This window comes from Homo sapiens, chromosome 5, assembly GCF_000001405.40.
Source record: "Homo sapiens chromosome 5, GRCh38.p14 Primary Assembly".
NCBI lineage: Eukaryota > Metazoa > Chordata > Mammalia > Primates > Hominidae > Homo > Homo sapiens.
The window spans coordinates 16732192-16756771 of record NC_000005.10 but is presented as its reverse complement, the minus strand read 5'-3'; the positions used below and the strand labels follow the sequence as shown (position 1 = coordinate 16756771).

General features: G+C 43.7%; 1 protein-coding gene across 4 annotated transcripts in view, besides 4 other annotated features; it reads left to right on the top strand.

Moving 5' to 3' along the window:
- Positions 1-24580, top strand: part of MYO10 (myosin X) — a 274382-nt gene that overhangs the window by 179517 nt on the left and 70285 nt on the right. For 2 of the 4 annotated variants that reach the window (XM_006714475.4, NM_012334.3), the window contains one exon: positions 1864-1944. In XM_006714475.4, coding sequence (XP_006714538.1) covers positions 1864-1944 — 81 coding nt within the window. Of the gene's footprint in view, positions 1-1863; positions 1945-14862; positions 14969-18583; positions 18637-24580 lie in introns of those variants that run through there. The other 2 variants (XM_005248307.3, XM_011514046.3) reach the window with 2 other exon arrangements.
- Positions 932-1572: an enhancer, noted in NCBI's record as "H3K4me1 hESC enhancer chr5:16755309-16755949 (GRCh37/hg19 assembly coordinates)". NCBI's record gives its function as "activates a minimal SCP1, AML or CMV promoter by ChIP-STARR-seq in primed H9 embryonic stem cells {active_cell/tissue: H9 hESC(primed)}" and the evidence as "EXISTENCE:reporter gene assay evidence [ECO:0000049][PMID:30033119]".
- Positions 1573-2213: an enhancer, noted in NCBI's record as "NANOG-H3K4me1 hESC enhancer chr5:16754668-16755308 (GRCh37/hg19 assembly coordinates)". NCBI's record gives its function as "activates a minimal SCP1, AML or CMV promoter by ChIP-STARR-seq in naive and primed H9 embryonic stem cells {active_cell/tissue: H9 hESC(naive and primed)}" and the evidence as "EXISTENCE:reporter gene assay evidence [ECO:0000049][PMID:30033119]".
- Positions 14035-14940: an enhancer, noted in NCBI's record as "OCT4-NANOG-H3K27ac-H3K4me1 hESC enhancer chr5:16741941-16742846 (GRCh37/hg19 assembly coordinates)". NCBI's record gives its function as "activates a minimal SCP1, AML or CMV promoter by ChIP-STARR-seq in naive H9 embryonic stem cells {active_cell/tissue: H9 hESC(naive)}" and the evidence as "EXISTENCE:reporter gene assay evidence [ECO:0000049][PMID:30033119]".
- Positions 14941-15845: an enhancer, noted in NCBI's record as "OCT4-NANOG-H3K27ac hESC enhancer chr5:16741036-16741940 (GRCh37/hg19 assembly coordinates)". NCBI's record gives its function as "activates a minimal SCP1, AML or CMV promoter by ChIP-STARR-seq in naive H9 embryonic stem cells {active_cell/tissue: H9 hESC(naive)}" and the evidence as "EXISTENCE:reporter gene assay evidence [ECO:0000049][PMID:30033119]".

The window sequence follows — 24580 nt, the reverse complement described above, 5'->3', positions numbered from 1 at the left end:
GAAATGGAAAAGGGTGGGTGAGCTTTCCAGGTGCAGGCGAAGGCAGGAGAAGAGCCCAGACACAGAGATGCAAGTCCTGTCTCTGAGGACTGTCAACAGACAGTAGAACACCAGCCGGACAGGACACCTCGTGAGAATTTAAGATGGTATCAAAATATGAAGGGCCGTGAATGTCAGGATGTTTTGTCTTGTGAGAAATTTTAAAGTTTTCTGAGCTGGAGAAGTAATTAATCCATGTAGTGTTCAGACAGTTCAGTTTTCTTCAACAAGATTATGAGAAGAAAAAAGAGACAGATGGAGGGAAAGCCAGTGGATTAAAAGAGACTGAAAAGATGCATCCACCAATTACAATGAATGGACCATATTTGCATTTTGATGCAAAAGAACAAACCCTTTAAAATTTATGGGCTGGGCATGGTGACACATGCCTGTAATCCCAGCACTTTAGGAGGCCTAGGTGGAAAGATTGCTTGAGTCGAGGAGTTCGAGACCAGCCTGGGCAACATAGCGAGGCCTCATCTCTACAAAAAAAATTAAAAAGTTATTCGGCATGCCCTTGTATTCCCAGCTACTCAGGAGGCTGAGGTAGGAGGATCACTTGAGTCTGGAAGGTTGAAGCTGCCGTGAGCTGTGATCACACCACTGTACTCCAGCCTGGGTGGCAGAATGAGACCCTGTCTCAAATAAATAAATAAATAATAAAATTTTTAAAAATCATAAAATTTGAAGCAGTTGAGCATTTTAATATGAAATGTGAGACCATTGCACATTTTAATATTAGTTTAAGGAATTAATGTCATCTTTTCAGGTGTGATGATGCTGTGGTTACACAGTGCTTTAAAGTGTTTAGCCTTTAATCCTACATACTGAAATGCTGCTGGAGGAAATCACATCATGTCTGGGATTTGCTTTTCCACAGGGGTGGGTATAGTATGTGTGGATCAGGCGAAATGAGATTAGCCCTGAGCTGAAGCTGGTAATGAGAACTCATTGTATGCTTTTGTCTGCTTTGGTAAATGTTAAAAACTCTAAAAAAAAAAAAAAAAAAAAAGTTGGAAAAGAAAGTAGTATTAAAGATTGATCTGGAGTCTGTAAGTCTGGCGATTTGAAGGTAAGAGTGAGAGATTGTGGCTCAGAGACCAGTGAAGTGCTGGCATAGACTGTCATTTCGATGGAACTAATGAATTGGGAAGAATAATGACAGTGGAAGAGTGGCTATTTCTCAGTTTTTCTGTACTAAACGTTGAAATATCCTAGGATGATTTTTGTTTGTTGACAGAATGGTTTATTAAAATTGTACTATTTCAGGCCGGGCGCGGTGGCTCACGCCTGTAATCCCAGCACTTTGGGAGGCTGAGGCCGGTGGATCACGAAGTCAGGAGATCGAGACCATCCTGGCTAACACGGTGAAACCGCATCTCCACTAAAAATACAAAAAATTCTCCGGGCATGGTGGCGGGCGCCTGTAGTCCCAGCTACTCTGGAGGCTGAGGCAGGAGAAGGGCATGAGCCCGGGAGGCGGAGCTTGCAGTGAGCCGAGATCACGCCACTGCACTCCAGCCTGGGTGATAGAGCGAGACTCCGTCTCAAATAAATAAATAAATAAATAAAATAGAATTTTACTATTTCAAAGGAAGTGATAAATGAGTTTGGTGTATTATCGAATAATTTCAATTATTAATACATTGACTCAGTATGTTTATTTTATATTAGAATGACAATTAAAAAATGAAAACCTCTAAGTTATTAGTCCTATGATTTATATTGTGTTTTTTAAATTATTGTTTCTAAGTGCCTAGAGTACTGAGAAATTTAAAGAATGACATAATAAGAGACTAAATCAACATATACTTTTTCTAATAGGACTCACTGCATTCCTTAATGGCAACGCTAAGCTCCTCTAATCCTTTCTTTGTTCGCTGTATCAAGCCAAACATGCAGAAGGTAAGATTGATGACAGTCCTAGGCTGGGATCTGTCTCGAGGGACACAGCCTCCTGGGGTGGTTACTCACAGATTTGGTTTCTCCAAAGTCCTTTCATTGTAGATGGTTGGAAATGGATATGACATTATTATAACTTGACATGAAATGAAAAAGTTCCCTTTGTCCCTTGGGCCTGTTAGTCTGCTTTTGAGTGATGTTATTAAGCTTTAGGGACATCTATTTGAAAAGGAAACATTGTGAAGCCTTTACTTTTTTTTTTTTTTAGCGTTTGGTTTAAAATTCTTGGGAAAAGTTTCAGAGTGTGATACATCATTTTACAGGAAATATTTGATGTGTGGTGGCTGATTTTTTTTTTAAAGTTTTTATTTGTCTTTCTTTCCTTCTTTTTTTTGCTTTATTGTTATTTTAAACACGATGAAGAGGCTTTAAGTAGTAATGCTAGATTTTAAGTACTTTAAATAGTTGTTTATAACTAATTAGAAAGCACTCTAAAGGTTGTCATAAGTATTAATGTCTTGGCTCTTTGATTTTAGCTTTCTAATTTCATAATCCGATTACAAGGAATGTGAGCTTAAAAAGGAAAAGCTACCTAAACAAAGAAACTATAGTGTTAGATATATGCAGTCGCTGAATCCACAGCTAATTAGGTAGCTTGTCTTAAAGTATTGTTAATACATTTAAATTATTTTGATTCAGCAAACAGCCTCTTAGGAATGCTTCTTATGTGAGAAAACCCCTACAAATTTTAATTGTAATGTAATTTTTATGTAATTTAATTGTAATGTAATTTTTATGTAATTTAATTGTAATGTAATTAAATTGTAAAATTTAATTGTAATTTTAAGAGCTAATGTTAAAGAACTAGATGCCATCCTCATAAGGTTTAAGGTAAAAAATCTGATCTGAACTGTTTCCCATGAGACTTGGTTTATTATATTCTGGTAATTTGACTGATGCTGGATCTTATCTTTTATAATGCCAACCAGTTGCCTTTGGCTTAATATTGCATGGATTCCTCATTTATAGTTTAAAGATGTATGCTTATAAGAACCACAGTAGCCGGGCATGGTGGCTCACGCCTGTAATCCCAGCACTTTGGGAGGTCGAGGTGGGCGGGTCACATGAGGTCAGGAATTTGAGACCAGCCTGGCCAACATGGTGAAACCCTATCTCTACTAAAAATACAGAAATTTGCTAGGCATGGTGTCACGTGCCTGTAATCCCAGCCACTCAGGAGGCTGAGGCACGAGAATCACTTGAACCCAGGAGGTGGAGGTTGCAGTGAGCCAAGATCTGCCACTGCACTCCAGCCTGGGAGATAGAGCCAGACTCTGTCTCCCAAAAAAAAAAAAAAAAAAAAAGGCCGGGCACGGTGGCTCACGCCTGTAATCCCAGCACTTTGGGAGGCCGAGGCGGGTGGATCACAAGGTCAGGAGATGGAGACCATCCTGGTTAACATGATGAAACCACGTCTCTACTAAAAATATTAAAAAACTAGCTGGGTGTGGTGGCAGGTGCCTGTAGTCCCACCTACTTGGGAGGCTGAGGCAGGAGAATTGCCTGAACCCGGGAGGCGGAGCTTGCAGTGAGCTGAGGTCATGCCACTGCACTCCATCCTGGGCGACAGAGCTAGACTGTCTCAAAACAAACAAACAAAAACAACAACAACAAAAAACCAGAACCACAATGTTGAATTATCTGTCTTCTAGAGAGGCAAAATTGGACATCTCTTTAAGAGAAAATAACCTGTTCAGTTTGTTACCTTACTGTGAGATATGATGGTGAGAATTTGGTGTTTGTGTGACCTGAAGTGACAAAGTGGTTTTCTGTTGAAGATCTGTGCTGACTTTATGTGCATGATTCTGGTAGTTTAAAAAGTAACCCATCTTTCCGTTTTTCAAAAGTATGTCAAAATATTTAAGGTTATCACCAAAAAAATGGTAACATAAAAAAATGCATAGCTTTTTTGGGGACATAGTGTAGGAAATTAATAGTTGGAACATCTCTCCATAGATAACACTATGTCACGTAGCTGGTTTATGTTCCACTTGGTTTGCTTTGTACACTCTGGTGGGCAGTATTTACCAGACAATAGAAGTGGGCTTTGGTGCTTGATGTAGACTCCCAGGAGTTGCTCAGTATCCGATGGCGTTCTCTCCTCTTTCTACAATAAGGATGATAGTGCCATATTTAATCTTTCAAACGTGCAAGGTCTTTTGTCAATTTAAAGTCCTGGGTGTTTGGCTAGGCGTGGTGGCTCACGCCTGTAATCCCAGCACTTTGGGAGGCTGAGAGATAGGTTGGATGACTTGACGTCAGAAATTCGAAACCAGCCTGGCCAACATGATGAAACCCTGTCTCTCCTAAAAATACAAAAATTAGCCAGGCGTGGTGGCACACGTCTGTAGTCCCAGCTACTTGGGAGGCTGAGGCAGGAGAATTGCTTGAACCCGGGAGGCGGAGGCTGCAGTGAGCCGAGATCACGCCACTGCACTCCAGCCTGTGGAATACAGCAAGACTCTGTTTCAAAAAATACAAATTAAAAAAATAAAGTCTCGGTTGCTGGGATGCATCTCACAGTTTCTGGTGAGCCATAGTCTAATTGGAAGCTTTTTTCCCATTCTTCGTGGTGTGAAACAGTTTTACAATCGTAGGCATCTTAAATTCCTGCCCTGGCAGTGCTATAATAAAGTAGAAACTTTAATTTGAAATACTCAGTCCCCAGTGTTTCTGTTTTCTCTCTTGGATGGCACAGAGTTAGTTTTTCCTATAAATTGTACTAGCTTTTGAAATTAGGCCTGCTTGGAAGCAGTTCAGCAGCCAGACTATTGCAGAACCGACCTTATTTTTCCATGCTGAGATTTGATAGTACCTAATTGCTTTGAATTTTGCATTTAGAAAATGAACTAACTCAACCTCACGTTTGCATTTGTATTGGCTCACTTTACATGTCCTGAAGTATGGCAGACACTAATTAATAACGCACCAGTGATAGGCTATAGAAACCTTTCCAAGAATGTCTTGGTGCCCTTTTAAAGGCACTCAGAAGGCTGGGAGCGGTGGGGGCGGTGGCTCACGCCTGTAATCCCAGCACTTTGGGAGACCAAGATGGGCGGAATTGGAGACCAGCCTGGCCAACATGGTGAAACCTCGTCTCTACTAAAAAAAAAAAAAAAAAATTAGCCAGGTTTGGTGGCGCGTGCCTGTAATCCCAGCTACTTGGGAGGCTAAGGCAGGAGAATTACCTGAACCTGGGAGGTGGTGGTTGCCATGAGCTGAGATCACGACATTGCACTCCAGCCTGGGCGACAGAGTGAGACTCTGTCTCAAAAAAATGAAAAAATAAAGGCACTCAGCAAGTGAAGGCAGAGGCACAAGAGCTGACTTGTCTGAGGCCTAAAATGCAGGTGTGATGGTAGATGGAGATGCTAATTTGATTATGGCAAGATAGCTATGGCTCGATTAGCATTCATTTGGTTCCACTGGAAATATCGGACTGTCACCACCTATTATGTTCTGTGAAATGTGTGCAAATGACCTTTATTTAGACTTCCTTATATATTTTTTTTAATCCAAAGATAGATTCTTATAGAAATTTCGCAGGAAAAATCTTGCCTTCTTCCTCTCCAGAGATGGGGAATGTGTATTTTCAGCGTGGAGGGATGAGACGGTTTCTCCTCACCTCATTTTCCTCTCCAGTCGCAGTCCACCGAAGGACTTGGGAGATCGTATTCAAATATGTGTGTATTTAGGTATTTTGTGTATTATTCAGAAGCAAGGAGCATGGGTTTTAGAAAATATAGAAGTTTTTTGTTTGTTTGTTTGTTTGTTTGAGACAGAGTTTTGCTCTTGTTACCCAGGCTGGAGTGCAATGGTGCAATCTCAGCTCACCACAACCTCCGTCTCCCGAGTTCAAGCGATTCTCCTGCCTCAGCCTCCTGAGTAGCTGGGATTACAGGCATGCACCACCACGCCCTGCTAATTTTGTATTTTTAGTAGAGATGGGGTTTCTCCATGTTGGTCAGGCTGGTCTCAAACTCTTGACCTCAGGTGATCTCCTTGCCTCGGCCTCCCAAAGTGCTGGGATTACATGTGTGAGCCACTGAGCCTGGTCAGAAGTATCTTTTTGTGTGTGTTATATGATCTTAAAGACATAAGAATGGCAGCTGTAAAGTCCATAACCTAGAGACCTGTAGCATTGGAACAACAGAAACACCTGTAGCTGCTTTTGTGCCTTCAGGCATAAAGACTCACACACTCGCCGGGCTAGTGGGAGCACACCCCCTTTACCCGCCCTGGCTGCTACGGCAGGCTGCCTCTCCTCCTTGCCAAGTGTTTGAACCCCAGAACGCGCATCTGGGGTTGAAGAATCTAGAAATCCTTTGTGAGCTTTTGTTTGGGTTGTTAATTTTTTTTTTTTTAATTTGGGTTTTCTATGTATTGTTTTGAAAAACAGGTGCAAAGGAGGAGTGTATAATTGAAATGCTGAACGCATATGTCAATTCGGCTGTCACAATATGTGGGCTTTTTTCTTTTTCTATAAACAGCCTTTTACTAATCTTGGGTATTGTATAGAAGGCAGTTTGCTAGCCTCACTGGCGCTCAGCGAGGAAGCACCTAGAAAAGCCTGCTTCCCGAGAGACGCCAGTCTGCAGTGGGCCTTGTCCTTGGATGTTACCCTCCTCTGAACTTAGAGTTTTCAGAGTTCACAAAGGGTAGACTTCTCCATTCCACGAGTTTTCGTTGGTAATGAGGACTTCTAGCTTTTTTGATTGTGATTTGCTTGGGCGGTGGCGGTGGTACCCAAAAGTGCTCCAGCCAACCACAGATTTCTCTAAGATAGAAAACCTGCTTTTCCTCATCAGAACCTCCCCAAGGGTGTCCCTGCCTGGTGTTTTAGCAAGTAAGTTCCAGGCAGAAAAGTCTCTCATTAACATTCTTCAGAAAAGCCCCGAGGAGGTTCAGGGCAGAATTAAAGAAGGGAACAGACTGATACACATCAGGAACACCTTCTGGGGTTTGAGAACCAGTTGCCCGCAGTTGCCTGCAGATTCAGCCTGGGCTGCCTCTTGGAACACGTCTGGCTGGCTCTCCTCCCTGTTTGGTCTTTAGGTTTGCTGTGTCCAGGATGCAGATTCTAGGAAGGAAACGTCATGGGTTCCAGCAGCATCATCTTTAAATCTTTGACTTGACAGAACAATACCCTCAAAGATTCAGTCCAGCCTTCTCCAGAAAGGCAGGGGCCTAATCACCTAATGTTTCTGGGACTGGTTTCTGGTGGAAGAAGGCCTCTAGCACAAGCAGCCTCTTGGGATAGGGTTTATCTTTTTTTTTTTTTTTTTTGAGGTGGAGTCTCTCTGTCACCCAGGCTGGAGTGCAGTGGCGCAATCTCAGTTCACTGCAACCTCCACCTCCCGGGTTCAAGCGATTCTCCTGCCTCAGCCTTCCAAGTAGCGAAGATTACAGGCATGTGCAACCACGCCCAGCTGATTTTTGTATTTTTAGTAGAGATGGCTTTTCACCATGTTGGCCAGGCTGGTCTCAAACTCCTGACCTCAAGTGGTCCACCTGCCTCAGCCTCCCAAAGTGCTGGGAGCCACTGCGTGCAGCATGGAGTAAGGTTTACGGAAGGGAAGAAGGGAAAGATGCCTGTGCTGGGGGAGGCTGAAGACCAGGCCTCAGGGGAGGGAAACCAGCAGGGCTAGAGTTTCCATGCAGCCAAATTTGCTGGAAAATGGAATATCAAGTGAGAGAAGGAAGCTGGAGACGTGGAGTGGAGTTAGGGAGGTCACGTGAGCCTTGTGGGCTGTCGATCTTGGAGCCCCATCTGTCTCTACCCCGAGACACAAGGATGAAGATGAGGATGTGTAAACCATCTCACACAGGGGTCTTCTGTAAAGGACTTTGGGGGGATGTCAGCTCCTTTCACATAAATGAGTCCTGATGACCTGTATTCCTCTCTTCCACGGGGCTTCCTTCTTAGGTCAGACTCAGCCCCTCAGGTTGACAACATCCTAGACAACTCATGACCACACACATGCAGTGAGAGCTCTGTGCAGACATTATGGAAGCATGAGCCTTTTGTTTCCAGAGGTGTAATAATTTGATGAATGAATTTAATGAATCTAGCACATTTCCTCCCGGGGATTTATATTTATGTAATCCAGGTGCTGCCTGCTATTTCTCCCTCCCTCCCTCCCTCCCTCTCTCCCTCTCTCCCTCTTTTTCTTTTCTTTCTTCCTTTCTTCATTTCCTTTCTTTATTTCAGACCTGACCAGGAGCAATGGCTCACACCTGTAATCCCAGCGCTTTGGGAGGCTGATGGGGGGCGGGGGGGCGCGGATCACTTGAGGCCAGGAGTTCGAGACCAGCCTGGCCAACGTGGTGAAACCCCATCTCTACCAAAAAAACAAAAATTTGCTGGGCGTGGTGGTGTACACCTGTAACCCCAGCTACTTGGGAGGCTGAGGCACGAGAGTTGTTTGAACCCAGGAGGTGTAGGTTGCAGTGAGCTGAGATCACACCACTGCACTCCCGCCTGGGTGAGAGTGAGACTCTGTCTCAGAAAAAAAAACTTCAAAAAGACAAAAAGTAGCCAGGAGTGGTAGTGTACACCTGTAGTCCCGGCTACCTGAGAGGCTGAGGTGGGAGGATCATCCGAGCCTGGGAGGTCAAGGCTGCAGTGAGCCGAGATCGCACCAGTGCACTTCGGCCTGTGCAACACAGTGAGACCTGTCTCAAAGAAAAAAACAAAGACAAAATATTTCTTTAAAAAGTTCGGATGATAATGTGACACATTTCTTGCCTTGAATTTTGGGTCCCATGTTATTCTTCCTCTATCTTTTTCTCTTTTTTTTTCTTCCTGTATCTTTTTTTTTTTCTTTTTTTTTTTTTTTTTTTTTTTTTTTTGAGACGGAGTTTCGCTCTGTCGCCCAGTCTAGAGTGCAGTGGCACGATCTCGGCTCACTGCAAGCTCCGCCTCCAGGGTTCAAGTGATTCTCCTGCCTCAGCCTCCCAAGTAGCTGGGACTACAGGCACCTGCCACCCCGCACGGCTAATTTTTTGTATTTTTAGTAGAGACGGGGGTTTCTCTGTGTTAGCCAGACTGGTCTCAATCTCCTGACCTCGTGATCCACCCGCCTCGGCCTCCCGAAGTGCTGGGATTACAGGTGTGAGCCACCGCGTCCAGCCTCTATCTTCTTTTATGCATCTGGTTTCTCTTTAGCTTTACTAAGCTTTTGACTTTGGTCTCTTTGCCCTAATGCTAGTTTGTGAATAAAGTGTTCAGTGAATATAGAAGACCAAGTGCAGCTCTGCAGGGCCTGTCTCAGCCTTTGCACCCTGCTGCACACCTCAGGGTCCAGACTATTTATAGGTGCTCAGTAACGTTGAGTTACTCATCATGGTACATTGTAGAAATTGCTCATGGTGTGTGAGTGCTCAACTGTGCGAAAGATAAAAACGTAACTATTGCCATAGATTCTGTTTTAGTTGATTTATTTTATTTTTGGCATGCTTTTCTCTTCTGATCATCTTTGATTTGTGTAGCTGGAGGATACCCGGGCATCGCCAGTAGGTCAGTATTGGGGTGGTGTCTTTAATGTGTATCAATCTTTTTATGCTGACATGCTCCTTCGCCCTGTCTACCTCCCTCAGCTGACCCCTTCTAGACATAGCCCCACCTCAGGTTCAGGGCCCTTTAGGAACAGCCAAGCACAGCACCAGGGGCTCATTCACAAATACTTCTTGATCTGAGGGCTGATGCTTCATATACAAATATCCCCATCTCCAAATGGGTATTCACCCACAGGCCTTTGTTATCTGCCACAATTGGGCAGGGAGTCTGGGTGTGAGGGTCTGCCACATGACAAGGTTTAAACTGAAAGGTTAATTAAACATTAGATTTTAACATTGAGATGGAACTTTCTGGAATTATAGACTATTCACTCTGTCCAAACATTATTTATTGCCATGTTTCACAGAATCTAAATTCCAAGAGTGTAAAATGCATCCTTGTTTCCTGTCACTGTGGAAGCAAAGGCACCACCGATTACAGCAGAGCACAATGATTTCTTATCGCTTAGCTCTTGCTCGTTGCTTTGCAGAAAGTATGAAATGGAGGTCATTCATCCACCACAAATAGGCACCTTGCTTTTCTGTTTCCAGGCCTTTTTGCAGATAAAATAACTTTCTGTTTCACTGGTAAATCTGTAGTGTGATATTTCAACTCCGCTTAAAAGACAGCTGGACTTGATGTGAGGAGTGGCAGTAGTGTCCATAATTTGCAAAGATAGTACAAAAATTATGATGAAATTCACTCACATCCAGGCACTGGTCGCAGCATGGTGGCTGCTTGGGTGGTAGTGTCAGAGATGTTTGAACCAGAGCAACTCCATCTTGAATAGGAGCTGGGGAAAATGAGGCTGAAACCTACTAGGCTGCATTCTCAGACGCAGCCATTCTAAGTCACAGGATGAGATAGGAGGTCAGCACAAAATACAGGTCATAAAGACCTTGCTGATAAAACAGGTTGCCGTAAAGAAGGTGGCCAAAACTGACCAAAACCAAGATGGCCACGAGAGTGACCTCTGGTTGTCCTCACTGTGACACTCGCATCAGCACCGTGACAGTTTACAAATGCCACGGCAGCCTCAGGAAGTTACCCTATATCGTCTAAAAAGGGGAGGCATGAATAATGCACCCCTTGTTTAGCATATCATCAAGAAATAAACATAAAAATGGACAACCAGCAGCCCTTGGGACTGCTGTGTCTATGGAGTAGCCATTCTTTTATTCCTTTACTTTCTTAATAAACTTGCTTTCACTTTACCCTATGGACTCACCCTAAATTCTTTCTTACATGAGATCCAAGAACCCTCTCTTGGGGTCTGGACGGGGACCTCTTTCTTAGAACAACAGCATGTCTGAGACACATCCCAGTTTCAGCATGTCCACATGGGAGCATGTATGCATTAAGAATTGAGGAAATATGATCTAGTTCTCTCTTTTAAATGTTACATAAAGGGATCATCCTCCCTTTTCCTAAGGAACCCTCAGAAACAGAGAATTTAATCTTTCCTAACACTTAAAGGTAGCCAGGTGCTTTTTTAATTTTTTAATTTTAATTTTTTCATTTTTGAGAGACAAGGTCTTATTCTGTTGCCCAGGCGGGAGCGTAGTGGCACTATCATAACTCGCAGAAGCCTTGAACTCCTGGGCTCAAGCAATCTCCTGCCCCAGCCTCCCAAATAGCTGGGAGTACAGGCATACACCACCACTGGGCCTGGCTAATTTTTTAATTTTTCATAGAGACGAGGTCTTACTGTGTTGCCCAGGCTGGTCTCAAACTTTTGGCCTCAAGCGATTCTCCTGCTTTGGCCTCCCAAAGTGCTGGGATTACAGATGTGACTCACCGTGCCTGGTCTGCTTTTGAATTTTTGTTTTTTAAGCCCTTAGTGTTCATGGGAAAGGTTTTTATTTTTGTTTTGAGATGGAGTCTCGCTTTTGGTCCAGGCTGGAGTGCAGTGGCACGATCTTGGCTCACTGCAACCTCCACCTCCCCCGGGTTCAAGCAATTCTCTTGCCTCAGCCTCCAGAGTAGCTGGGATTACAGATACCCGCCACCACTCCCAGCTAATTTTTGTATTTTTAGTAGAGACGGGGTTTCACCATGTTGGCCAGGATAGTCTCAAACTCCTGACCTCAGGTGATCCACACGCCTCTGCCTCCCAAAGTGCTGGGATTACCGGCGTGAGCTACCGCGCCCGGCCTGGGAAAGGTCTTAATTGTAATGAATGAAATCTGCATTTCTGCATCTTCCATTCGCTGCTCTTCTTCTGGCCATTTGAGATTAATGTGAAAATGTCAGATATTCGTTCATAGGAGCGTGTCAAATATTTTTAAGCTCTTAATAAGAATACATTTTCCTGCTCCAGTAAACAGCCTCTGAGCATAATTTTATCTCGGAATTTTTGTTTAAACATCAACACATTATGCAATACCATCTCAAAGCTCTTGTGGGCGATTAGGATTTTTTTTTTTTAGAGCTTTGCTTACCTTTTTACTGCCTGTGTTTGCTTTCATGTTGTTTGTTTTTATTTTCTGTTTCATCTTTTGTGACTGTTTTCCCACAGCTGCATTGACCACTACCCCACCTGTTCCCCAGCCCCAGCCACCGCTCCCTCTGCAAGCCTGCTTAGTTACCCGCAGGGCCTGGGTGACTCAGTCCTTCATGTCCTGCACCAAGGGCACAGGAAGCCCTGCGCCGCGCCTGCTGAGACCCAGGGTGTCGGGGTGCTCTGGGTCTAGCACATTATGATACACCATAATCCCGTTGGCATGGGAAGGGTATCGCACAGCCACCCAGGTGCAGAGGAGCCATGAAGCCACCGATACAATAGATCAAAGGTGTGCACCCAGGTTTCGCCCAGGCCTCATCACTACACCTTGTGTGGCCGGGCGTCCTTTCCCTGTGTTTAACGTGTGTGTATTGACAGTACCTACTGAGGGAGGGTGGTTATGTGTATTAAGTGAGGTCATGGGGACATGATACAGCTACATGTTATTGTGTATGTAAAATAACACATACTTACATTATATGTTTATATTTTTACCACTTATTTTGTCCTAACAAATTTAATCCCAAATTTAAGCTGAGTCACAGGAAAATCTAACTGTTTTAAGACCTTTTCTCTCTTAAGTTTTAAATCACTTCTGACAGATTGTCATAAGGAGCCTTAAAAAAGTTTTTCCTTTAGTCTTTGGCATTGTCACGGGATGGACATTTTTATCTTGATTTTTAACATTAATAGACTTTTTTAAAGAACATTAAAAAATTTACAGAAAATGTGAGCATATACTACAGACTGTTTCCACACTGCCCCCCTCCACCACCATTTTCCCTTTCATTAATATCTTGTACTAATGTGGTACATTTGTTATAATAAAGCAGTATTGCTACATTATTATTAAAGTCCAAAGTTGATATTAGGAGTCCACTGTCTGTGTTGTATGGTTCTTTGACTTTTGACAAATAAGTACTGTCATGTGTCAAAATGCCAGATGTTTATTATCAGTTCATAATGTAACAAACATTTTTTTCCAAGTCATTTTCTATAAGAATGGGAGGTTTCTGATTCCCTGGTCAAAGGGTGAAGCATTGAGAATGAAGTTTCTTTTTTTTTTTGCAATGGAGTCTCACTCTTTCACTCAGGCTAGAGTGCAGTGGTGCAATCTCGGCTCACTGCAACCACTGCCTCCCGAGTTCAAGCAATTCTCCTGCCTCAGCCTCCCGAGTAGCTGGGACTACAGGTGTGCACTGCCACGCCTGGCCGATTTTTGTATTTTTAATAGAGATGGGATTTCATCATGTTGGCCAGGGTGGTCTCAAGCTCCTGACCTCAGGTGATCCACTCACCTCGGCCTCCCAAAGTGCTGGGATTACAGACGTAAGCCACCGTGTCCAGCTGAGAATGAAGTTTCTGTTGCTCACTATAGAACTGGTGAATGATATGGACAAGATTAATGGAAGGATAGAGAGGGCAGAAGCATCAACTTGCGAGTTAGGACTTCTTAGAATTATCCAGGTTGTCAGCCCCTTTCACTCCTCTGTGCATTTGGTTAGTCTTTGGGAATGGCTCATTTCCTCTGTGTACTTACTGGAAAGCACCTCGTTGACATTCCATAATCCTTCCTGGTGTTTTGTTTTGTGGTGGAGTTTTGTTCTTGTTGCCCAGGCTAGAGTACAGTGACACAGTATCTGCTCACTGCAACCTCCGTCTCCCGGGTTCAAGAGATTCTCCTGCTTCAGCATCTCAAGTAGCTGGAATTACAGGCATGCACCACCATGCCCGGCTAATTTTGTATTTTTAGTAGAGATGGGGTTTCTCCATGCTCTCCAGGCTAGTCTCGAACTCCCGACCTCAGGCAGTCCACCCGCTTCAGCCTCCCAAAGTGCTGGGATTACAGGCGTGAGCCATCACGCCTGGCCTTTTTATGTATGTATTTTTTTTTTTTTGAGACCGAGTCTTGCTCTGTGTCACCCAGGCTGGAGTGCAGTGGTGTGATCTCAGCCACTGCAATGTCCGCTTCCTGTTTTCAAGCAATTCTCCTGCCTCAGCCTCCCGAGTAGCTGGAATTAGAGGCACCCACCACCATGCCTGGCTAATTTTTGTGTTGATGAGATTTCACCATGTTGGCCAGGCTGGTCTCGAACTCCTGACCTCAAATGATCCACCCACCTAGGCCTCCCGAAGTGCTGGGATTATAGGCGTGAGCCACCATGCGGGCCCTTCTGGTTTTTGATTGCCACTCATGTCCCCTGTTGTTTTGACTGTCTCCTGCACCTGGAGCACCCATTGCCAGCATCTTTGACTTTTGAAAACATTTCATATAGAAGACCTGTAAAAAGCTGCCTTTTTACCTTTGGAGGAAATTTTAGTAAAGGAAGCATTTAAAGCAACCATTCTTCTCCCTAAACAAAACAATCCCAGTAAAGCCCTCAGTGGTCACTTCCATCCTGTTTACCAAGTTGTCATGGAAACTATTCATCAGAGCTCTGTAGAGATCAGGATAAATTGCAGCGAGTGAAGCTCAGCACCAGCAAAGAGTGCTGTTCTTGTTCTCTGGGTGGATTTTCCAAGATCACAACTAAACTGCTTGATTTTGTCCTGGGACTTTTTTTAAAAAAAAATTATTGATTGGCTTTTAAAATCAAGAATCTTTGGGCCCTGAAATGTAATTACACATTTGTTGATGCGTGCATGATGGTTAGTTTGCCCCTGCAGTCAAAAGTGTCTTCAGCAGTTCCTATCACGTCAGCCTCGCCAGGCTGGACTTCCTTTGAGTAGAATCAGGAATGAATTAAGCAGCACAGCCCGAGACGCACCACATAAAAGGCTGGGAACACCAGCCAGCCGAAGAAAGCCCATTTTTGTGTCTGTCAGCTTAGATGCCCTTGCCCGGACTGCTAAAGATGCAGCTATTTACAGTGGACAGAAACTGAAGGGGTGAAAGAAAACCCAAGGTAGGGATTTTTCTCTTTCTTGTTCTGCTTAAAAGTTTCATGTAACTTGCCATGATGATGGTATTGTAAAACTGCAGAGATCATACACGGGGAACAGATTTTGCTGTTTCTCCAGGCACGGAAGTGTTTACAAGTGGGTTAGTGCTGATTTTGATTGCATGTACAAGTTTGAACTACAAATTTTTTTTTGTAAAAATGAAGGACACAATTCACTGATCAGTTAAGGCGTTGATAATGCAATATATTTTCATATGGAATTCACCTTTTATAGGAAAACTTCTTTTTTAATATTAGGTTGAAGGGGGAAATTGGTGGTTTCTTTTGTTTGAATTTTTTCCAAAGTATTTTTCTTTAAGAGTTTATACACTGCAGTCATCCAGCTTTTCCCTGCCTCGTGCTTTATAGGAACCTTTAAAGAAATCTGCACAAGAATAATCTCTTTTTTAATCGCATTATAAACCTGTTCATACGCAAGTATGGAAATGTGAGATGTTATCGGAGTTGAATGGTCATCTGTTGAATATCATGTGCTTGTTTCACACAAGCATACACATGTTGGAATTTTGCAATCGGCCTGGAAAAACCTGATGAGGCATATTCTGTTGGGATTCCCTTTACTCCCCGAAGTAGAGGTCCCCAAAGAAAGAACAAAATAAAGAGTGACTGAAATGCTAATCTCTGCCTCCCCCCGATGGAGGAATGGTGTTCAGTTGATGTCTATTCAGTTGCTAAATGTGCCCTGGAAGGGAGGTGTTTTCATTGTGAAAGTGGTCTTTCATATTAAATCGAGTTACATTTAAAAGAAATGAATAAGCACTTGGCTGACTGCTACTAGGCTAAATCTGCTTTCGTCGCGTAGATAAGATTTCTGGTGCTAAGCGAAAACCAAGTATGAGAATGTTGGGTTTTTTTTTTTTTGCCATCAATTTTAGAGAGTAATTAATCTGACACACACTTATTACCCTCATAAGAAAGAGGCAAAGGTAAGTTGTCTATGGGAAAATGCCACATATTTTCTACCTCTCTTACAACGTTAAACTGGTTTTCTCATACCTCGCTTCTGTTTAGTTTACAAATGTGGGTCCTCAGGTCCGGAACCGCATTGCTGCTTGCGAGAGGGCTGGAATGATGGAATACAGAAGTGCTTCCCTCTCTCTGCTGAATGCCTCGGTGGCTGAAGGATATGTACGGGAAGGTGGTGCAATTAGAGAGGCGACCCCAGTCGGTCGGCTTCCCTCCCGGGAGGTGCCAGCTGCTAAAATGGGGTGTACATAATTGCAGCTTCCACCACTGCATTTTTACTTTGGCTTATCCTGATGAACTTACTGAATCATGTCCAATCTGAATGGCACTCCTGCTCCCACTGTGAGCAAATCCCTTCCCTCCCCTACCTGCACCCCCAACTCCCACCCCTGTCCGTCTAGCTCATGCAGACTGAGATATTTTTTTTTCCCCTCTAAGCATTAGCCGCCCTGAATTAACGTTTTCACGGGCAGCCCCCTCAATGTGTGCTTTCTGGTAGTGACTTTGTTCTAAAGCTCACTTTGCTCCCCCAGCGGCTACAAAGGACCAATTCCCAAATCCCCATCAGCCTCCCTCCCAGCTGTCACTCCCTCAGAAGACTCTGGAGCAAAGGGCCAGGTTTGAGACTGGAGACCAGAGGTTAGGGGTGGACTGCGGTTCTCAAGATCAGGGTCTGAAACTCCCCTGGGTCTTCTCTCATCTGTGCAGATGGTCCACTCTGCTTCATTAGCTCTTCAGCACTTCACTCTGTTCTTCTTCATCCTAGGGGTACTTTCCTTGTTTTTTTCTCCGGCAAGTTCTTTCTATGACCCTCAAAAATATGCGACAAAGAATAGTGACAATAATAAAAACACCACCGCATTAGATGCTGGGGTTTGCGTTCACCCCTCCTCAATATAAAGACGATTCTTACTGATTATAAAATATTAGGGAAATATGTGAAATGTTTTAAAAATTAGTTACCCATAATTTTACCAGCCAGAGACAACCCTCTTTATATTTGTTGTGTATATACTTTTCTTCCCTTTAAATTGGGATCATAGTTTACCTTAATTTTGTAACCTACTTTTTTTTTTAACTTAATAAATCTTGAAACATTCTTTCGCATTTTTTCATGACTATAAAATTCTGTCAGTGGCTATACTTTCAAGTCAGATTTCTATTACTGGATTGTTTATTTGTTGTTGCAAATAATAGTACTGTATTTTTCATGTGCACAAATACTTTCTCCTTAAGGTAAATTCTTGAAAGTGTATTTGCCAATCAGAATATGCACGTTGTTATGACTTTGATGTATATATAGCCAAACTGCCCTCATTAAAGCCAACAGCAAACAAGATATATATATCCAATGTGTATAACAATGGATGTATAGCTTTAATATATAAAGAGCCTTCACAAATCAATAAGAACATGTTTTAGTAGAAAAACGAGTAAAAAACAGAAACAAGAAATTTGCAAAAGGTGAAATATAAAATTACTTGAAGTTCTCAATAGTGTAATCAAATAAATGAAGTTTAAAATGAGATACTTTTGCTAGTGTGAGGATTGAATGGTTTAATGGTTTTATGCTTTTTTTTTTTTTTTTTGGGACATGATTATGTTGCCCAGGCTGGAGTGCAGGGGCTATTTACAAGCACAATCATAGCACACTACAGTCTCAAACTCCTGGCTGCAAGAGATCCTCCTGCCTCGGCACTGGAGTAGCTGGGGCTATAGGGGCACACCACTGCTCCTGGCTCTGTGTTGCTTTTTAATAACACTTCTTGGTTTCTGTGACTATTTGAAGAAACTGCCATTAATGGATTCTGCTATTCTGCTGCTGGGAGTATAAATTGTTGCAACCTTTTCTGAAGAACAGTTGTGTACTTTTTTTTTTTTTTTTTTTTTGAGATGGAGTCTCCCTTTGTTGCCCAGGCTGGAGTGCAGTGGTGCAAACCTGGCCCACTGCAATCTCTGCCTCCTAGGTTCATGCAATTCTCCTGCCTCAGCCTCCTGAGTAGCTGGGATTACAGGCGTGCACCACCACGCCCAGCTAATTTTTGCATTTTTAGTAGAGACAGGGTTTCACCATGTTGGCCAGGCTGGTTTCAAACTCCTGACCTCATGATCCACCCGCCTTGACATACCAAAGTTCTGGGATTACAGCCCTGAGTCACCATGCTCGGCCTCTTTTTTTGTTGTTGTTGTTTTTTTAACTTTGTCTTGCCTCCCCTGGGAGCTGAATGATTATATAGATATACATACACATACACCTGCTGAGAAGGGAGAAGTGAGGGCGAATAGGAACTTGACTGGGCTCCCTCACCTTGAGCAATCTTCTCCTCACTGCTAAACATTTCCAAAAAGAGTCTGTGACTATTTTCTTCTTTCTAATGCCAGGCAATCAAGGCTGCACTTGCTACCCTTCTGCAGGAAGCTTCCCAGCCAGCACAGTTTCTCTCTGCCCTGCCTCTTAATCCCCACCCCTGCTCCCAGGCCTGGGACACTGCTAACCACCCCTCCTTCCTGACACCTCTCTGACCACCCCTCCTCCTCTTGACTGGTTCCTCTGGAGGTAGGCATGGCCTCGGGTTCTGCCCCCAGTTTCTCACTCGCTGGGCTCCAAAAGAAACACTGGCTTCTCTCCTTCAGCTCCAGGCTAGGTGAGTACCTCTCCCCTGTGTATTTCCACCTCAAAACCCTCCTCTAAGCTTTGGCCTCATCATCTCCCTTAATTTTGTAACTTACTTGATTTTCCTAGTTTTCTAGATTTTCTAGTTCCGTGCTACTCTGCTTCACCTGTTTAGCACTTTGAACTGAAATGTGTCCATAATTAAACTTCACATCCTTTTCCTTCCGCGTCAGCTATCTCAAACAGATGATTCTTGCTTAACCCTTTTCCTATGTATCAGGATAAGTCAGGGTTCTTGGCCTCGGCAGTACTGGCATTTTGAGCTGGACAGGTTATTCTTTGTTGTTGGGCTCTAGCCTGAGCTTTGAAGGAGGCTTCAAAGCAGCGCTGGCATCTACCTGCTAGACGCTAGTAACACTCTCCTCTCTCAACGTCTCCAGACTTTCCCGGGTGCCCCCCAGGGGGCAAAACCACCTCCTCTTGAAAACCACTGGGCTGTCGATGCTGATGATTTCTTGGTTTTTATTCTTATTTTTTATTTGCTGTCAATAAAAACGGCATCTACATGTAAGTTAACTTGTTATATAGCATTTGTTATTGCTTTTAACTGTGTGTTTTACTATTCAACTAAAATAGAAAATGGTGTATCGTTTCACACTTTCTGGATGTACTTAGTCATTCAGTTAAATGTCTATTTTGTTTCCCTTTTTAGTAAGTCGTGTTAGGAGATGGGAAATGGTGGTGGTGGGCTTAGTATCAGTGCGTCCTGTGTCATTGTGTAACTGCTCTGTGCTAGCCACTGTCTCAGATGAATGGCTGTCCTAGTTTCAGCCACTCTGAAAGGATAAAACAGCTCATTAAAGTGTGCCAGATGCTTCATTTGTCAGTATTTCACTTAAAAGGGAATACTGTTTGGCTTTGGAATTCTGTAATATACCCAAAGTTTGCCTCTACAAAATTAAAGTGGTCCTATTAAAGATACAGTAACATTTTTCCCCTCACCCTCCACATTTAGGATGGTGAAAAATTCACTAGCAAACCAATGTTTTAGACCCTATTTAGTGATTTTTTTAAGAAAGAACTCTTCAGATAAATAAGAATATTAAGTAAGAGTATGCATAATAAGTTTGAATAACTGAGATTTCAGCTTTTAGCCGTTTGGCAAAAGACCATGATTTGAATATGAAATCTCGTAGGCATACTTTGGTCGTGTTTTCTTACGGGACCACAGAAGTTTAAATATGGTTATTATAACACATAAGTAGGGGTCTACGACAAATTTTGCTGAGCTAAAACAAATCCCCTTTGCTGAGCCAAAACAAATCCCGCTGGATTATGAAGGCCAAACATAAGGCATTGTTACTATGCTAATTGTGGTTTGAGGAATTGCAGAAGGAAAATTAGCCTACCACATTCTTTTTCTTCTTTTCTTTTTCTGGTATTGACTGAAACGTTGGCCTATGCATTTGATTCACTGACTGCATGGCATTGCTTTCAGTAAAGCTTGAGCTAGTCAGTTTACATTGGACTACAAGTGTACAGAGTTGCAGCTCTTAGAGGCTTTTAATCAGAGGTACCTTGCGAATTAGGGAAATAAGGTCCTGTGCAGAAGTGGAAGGGCAGGTTGGACCTGGTCGTGACATCATTTGACTGGGATTTCCAGGCTTCTAACACAGCCTGTGAGCATGCAGGAACAAAGAGGTGTACAACCTCTGAAAACTCTGTGGAACTGACCCTCTCTCAGAGCAGCCATTGTTTGCAGCGCTGTTGCATCAGCAGATGGGCCACTTCTATTCAGTTGCTCCTGCTATCTGGGGCGTGCTAGAGGCATTTCCTGGTTTACATAAACTCTGGGGCTCTGCCAACGTCCTTAGAGTTCAAGCCTTTCCCTTCTCATGCTCAATTAAAATAATTAACTACAGTACAATCGCCGCTTGTTCTCCACTTCTCACCTTGCCTGCTCACAGCACATCCATTCTTCTTGTTCCAGCCTGTCGCTACAAAGTAGTTAGATGATAGAGAAGGCAGGTTGGGAATATTCAAAGACTCTATAGCAACTGGCCTGGATGCAAAGGCTTTTTTTGTTCTTTGTCCTGGTCGTTTTGGTAAATGTGTAGTCGCGTATCTGAGACATAGATTGTGCTTTATTCGGTGCTGTGGAGAGTAGAAACTAGCAGCAGTACCTGGAAAGGGGCCCTGATCTGCGGGTGTGGATGAGTAGAGACTCTTCAGTTGAGATTTAGCTCTAGTGAGGGTTGGGTGCAAAAATGTAGGAAAGAGTGAAGAGATGAGCAGCTCATGTCTGAGTTTTTTCTGTTTCTGTTACTGTGTCACAGACCAGCCTCAGATCATAGTTCATGATGCCAAGATATTGTTGGAGTTGAATGCGGAGACAGACAGGGAGGATTTTTTAGAGTGTCTGCCAGTGTGTAATGTGTCATAATAGCATTTTCTGGGTTTGGGTTTTTTTTTTTTTTTTTTCCCGAGGCTCTGTCGCCTAGGCTAGAGTGTGGCGGTGGGATCTCGGCTCACTGCAGCCTTGACCTCCTGGGCTCAAACAGTCCTCCCATGTAGCTGGGACCACAAGTATGCACTACCATACCCAGCTAATTTTGTTTATTTTTGGTGGAAATGGGGTCTCCCTATATTGCCCAGGCTGATCTCGAACTCCTGGGCTCAAGCAATCCTTCTGCCTCAGCTTTCCAAATTACTGGAATTACAGGTGTTAGCCACTGCACCTGGCCTCATGGTAGCATTTTTAAACAACATTCACCACCGTGGCCTGGTCCCACGGTTTTCTCGTGTAAATCACAGCATTTAGACTCTGCCCTACAGCTCTCTCCATTAGCCTGATGACTCTATAGCAATTCATTAACCTGGGCGTTTTTCTACCTATTCCAGGGCTAACAGCATAAGGTTTTCCTCTCAAGGAACAAGTTGATTTGTTGCTGTTTGCTCAGTGAATAAAAGCAACCTCTCCTTTAGACAATTTATGGCGAACAAGATGATAAAGCAAGTTACTCTTTCAACATTTCTGGAGTAAAATGATGGATGAGGCTGTCCTGGGAGGCCACACATCATGGTGGACCAAATGAGGTTTTAACACTGATCCGGCCTGCCTTTTACCAGCCACAGGTCATTGGTTTGTCACTTTAGTTTTCTGTTCTCCCATCAGGGAAGGGAGTACAGAAGCCACCCTTTGTAGGGTAGGTACAAAGAGGAACTGTGAGCAAGTCTGTAAAACTCCTGGCTCAGACTCTGGCACGGACGGAGACACCACTGATGGCCGTGGTGGCTGATAAACAGCAGTCATAGTCATCATTATGGAAAGAAGTGGCATTGGAGTCTTTTTTTTTTTTTTGAGACAGAGTTTCGTGCTTGTCACCCAGGCTGGAGTGCAATGGCGCAGTCTCAGCTTACTGCAACCTCCGCCTCCCGGGTTCAAGTGATTCTCCTGCCTTAGCCTCCCAAGTAGCTGGGATTACAGGTGTGCGCCACCACGTCCGGCTAATTTTTGTATTTTTAGTAGAGACGGGGTTTCACCATGTTGGCCAGGCTGGTCTCGAACTCCTGACCTCAGTTGATCCGCCCACCTTGGCCTCCCAAAGTGCTGAATTTATAGGCATGAGCCACCATGCCCGGCCTGACATCGGGAGTCTTGGTAGAGAACTCTGGTGTTCACTGTGTGGCTCTCCCAGCAAAAAACAGGTGTGTTCGTTTCTTCTCGTGATCTGTCATTTGAACGTGGGCACCGTTGACTGAACTCAGCAGCACATTGCCAGGTAGAATTTGTGAAGGACGTACGTTCATTTTGGGGTAGGCGTGGGGAATATCAAATTCATGGAAGCAATATGATCAGAACCCTGAAAGCTGTTCTTTTAAGTCGAAAGATGTGGTAGATGTTAAGTAAAGCAAATTGGATCGCTGAAGGAAGTGGATGAAATGTGTTAATAAGGACAGGTGAGGAGAAAGCTGTCACTCATGAATAGCCTTCTGTCTGCTGCTTCTTGGATTTAGGAGCATATACTCCTTTGTTTTCTTTCTTTCTTTTTTTTTTTGCATCCCTTTTATTTTTAACATTGTGCTTAATCTGTGGAAGAGTCTTCAACTTAAAACTCTTTCATACGAATTCTCAGGCACTCCTATCTTAGAGAAAGCGTCAGGCTGCCCCTGAAGCCAGCCTGGCATGTCACACATTGGACCCTTTCCTGCTGGTAGCAGGAGGGAGGCACTTAACAATTAAGCAGTTCGAGTCACCCAGCTCAGAAGCCTGGACTCCCTGCCTGGACGTGGATGCTGCGATGCCGAGCCGTCAACTCGTGGCGCCCCCTGCCCAGAGTCCAGCCTGGAGAGTCCTGAAGAGGCCCGGGGATGGGAATAACCTGGCCTTTGAGTGCTGCCTGACCTCCCGTTTCCTAGCAACTCCCAACTGCTCAATGGGATATTTTGTGGTGTTTCTAATTTATACTTAACAGATATTGGCTGTGATCTAAGGCTGGCTAATTTCCCATTATGACTTTCAGGCAACCACTTTAATACATGAATAAGCAAGAAAAGGACTCCTAGGATGCGCAGCTCACCAATACCCTCTTCCCACCAGGCCTTCCTTCCTTCTGGAAAGCAGAATTTACCGAGGACTTGCCAATAAATTACCATTTATCTCAGAGCAGACGGCACTGAGCAATTTTCAAGGAAAATTCTCCATGTGACTTTTTTTTTCTTCTGGTATCTCAGTATATATTCATGAATATTTATAAATCAGCTATATCTATTATCAAAGAAGTAACTCTTTTCTTAGCTATGTTTTTAATGAAATGAAAAGGGCTGACTTGATCTCAGTTTCTTCCTGTAGAAATGGGATGATGGGGTGGGGTGATTTCTCAAGCCCCTTCCAGCACTCCACTAATATAAATCTGATGACCTTGTGGTCTTTTTAATATTTGGCATCTGTTTGGTGACTGGATGTTTAGCTCAGATTTTTCTGAGTGTGTGTATTTTTGTTGTTGTTGTTGTTTGTTTGTTTTGTTTTTTCTGAGATGGCGTCTTGCTCTGTCACCCAGGCTGGAGTGCAATGGCACGATCTCAGCTCACTGCAACCTCCACTTCCCGGGTTCAAGTGATTCTCCTGCCTCAGCCTCCTGAGTAGCTGGGATTACAGGCACCCGCTACCATGCCTGGCTAATTTTTGTACTTTTAGTAGAGATGGGGTTTTGCCATGTTGGCCAGGCTGGTCCCAAACTCCTGACCTCAAGTGATCTGCGCACCTCGGCCTCCCAAAGTGCTAGGATTACAGGCATGAGCCACCGCGCTCAGCTCTTACAATACCGTTAATGCAGCATTATAAAAAATATTCAGCCAAGCATTCCAAATCTCAGTTTGACCACTTTCCCGGCTTTGGATATTGAGGAACTTGTGGCTGCTGGATGCATTTTCCTCTTATTTCCCTCCTCATCTCCTCCCTTCTTTTTCTTGCTCAGTCCTCACTGCGTGGACATAACCTTAGTGATCGTGTAAGTGCTTTAGTGAGTTTCACAGCTATTTTAGCATTTTAATGACCGATTTGGGCCTCCTTGGCAACATCTACAAAGAGAGACAGCTGCCCTCCTAATTTGTATTTCTCAGCATGATTTTTCAGAACACGTCTGAATAAAGGAGCTGATGACCTGTTCAATATGGTGGACAGAGAAGTAGAAATAGAACACAGATGAATAGAGTGAGATGGAGGTTTAGTTTAGCCAGATAAAAAGGTTTCGTTAGGTTCACTAGATAAAAGGGCAACAGATTATACCCAAGGGGGAGGCTACCCTGTGAGGATTTCCAGATGGGATTTGTGCAAAGGGTTGAACCTTCTGTTGTCTTCACCAGGGCTTTGGGTCTGATTTGGAACAAATCTGTAGTCCCTCTCTCCATCCCTCCTTCCTTCCCTCCTGCCCTCCTTCCTTCCTTTGTTTCTTTGGGTTTTTCTGAAAGTCTCT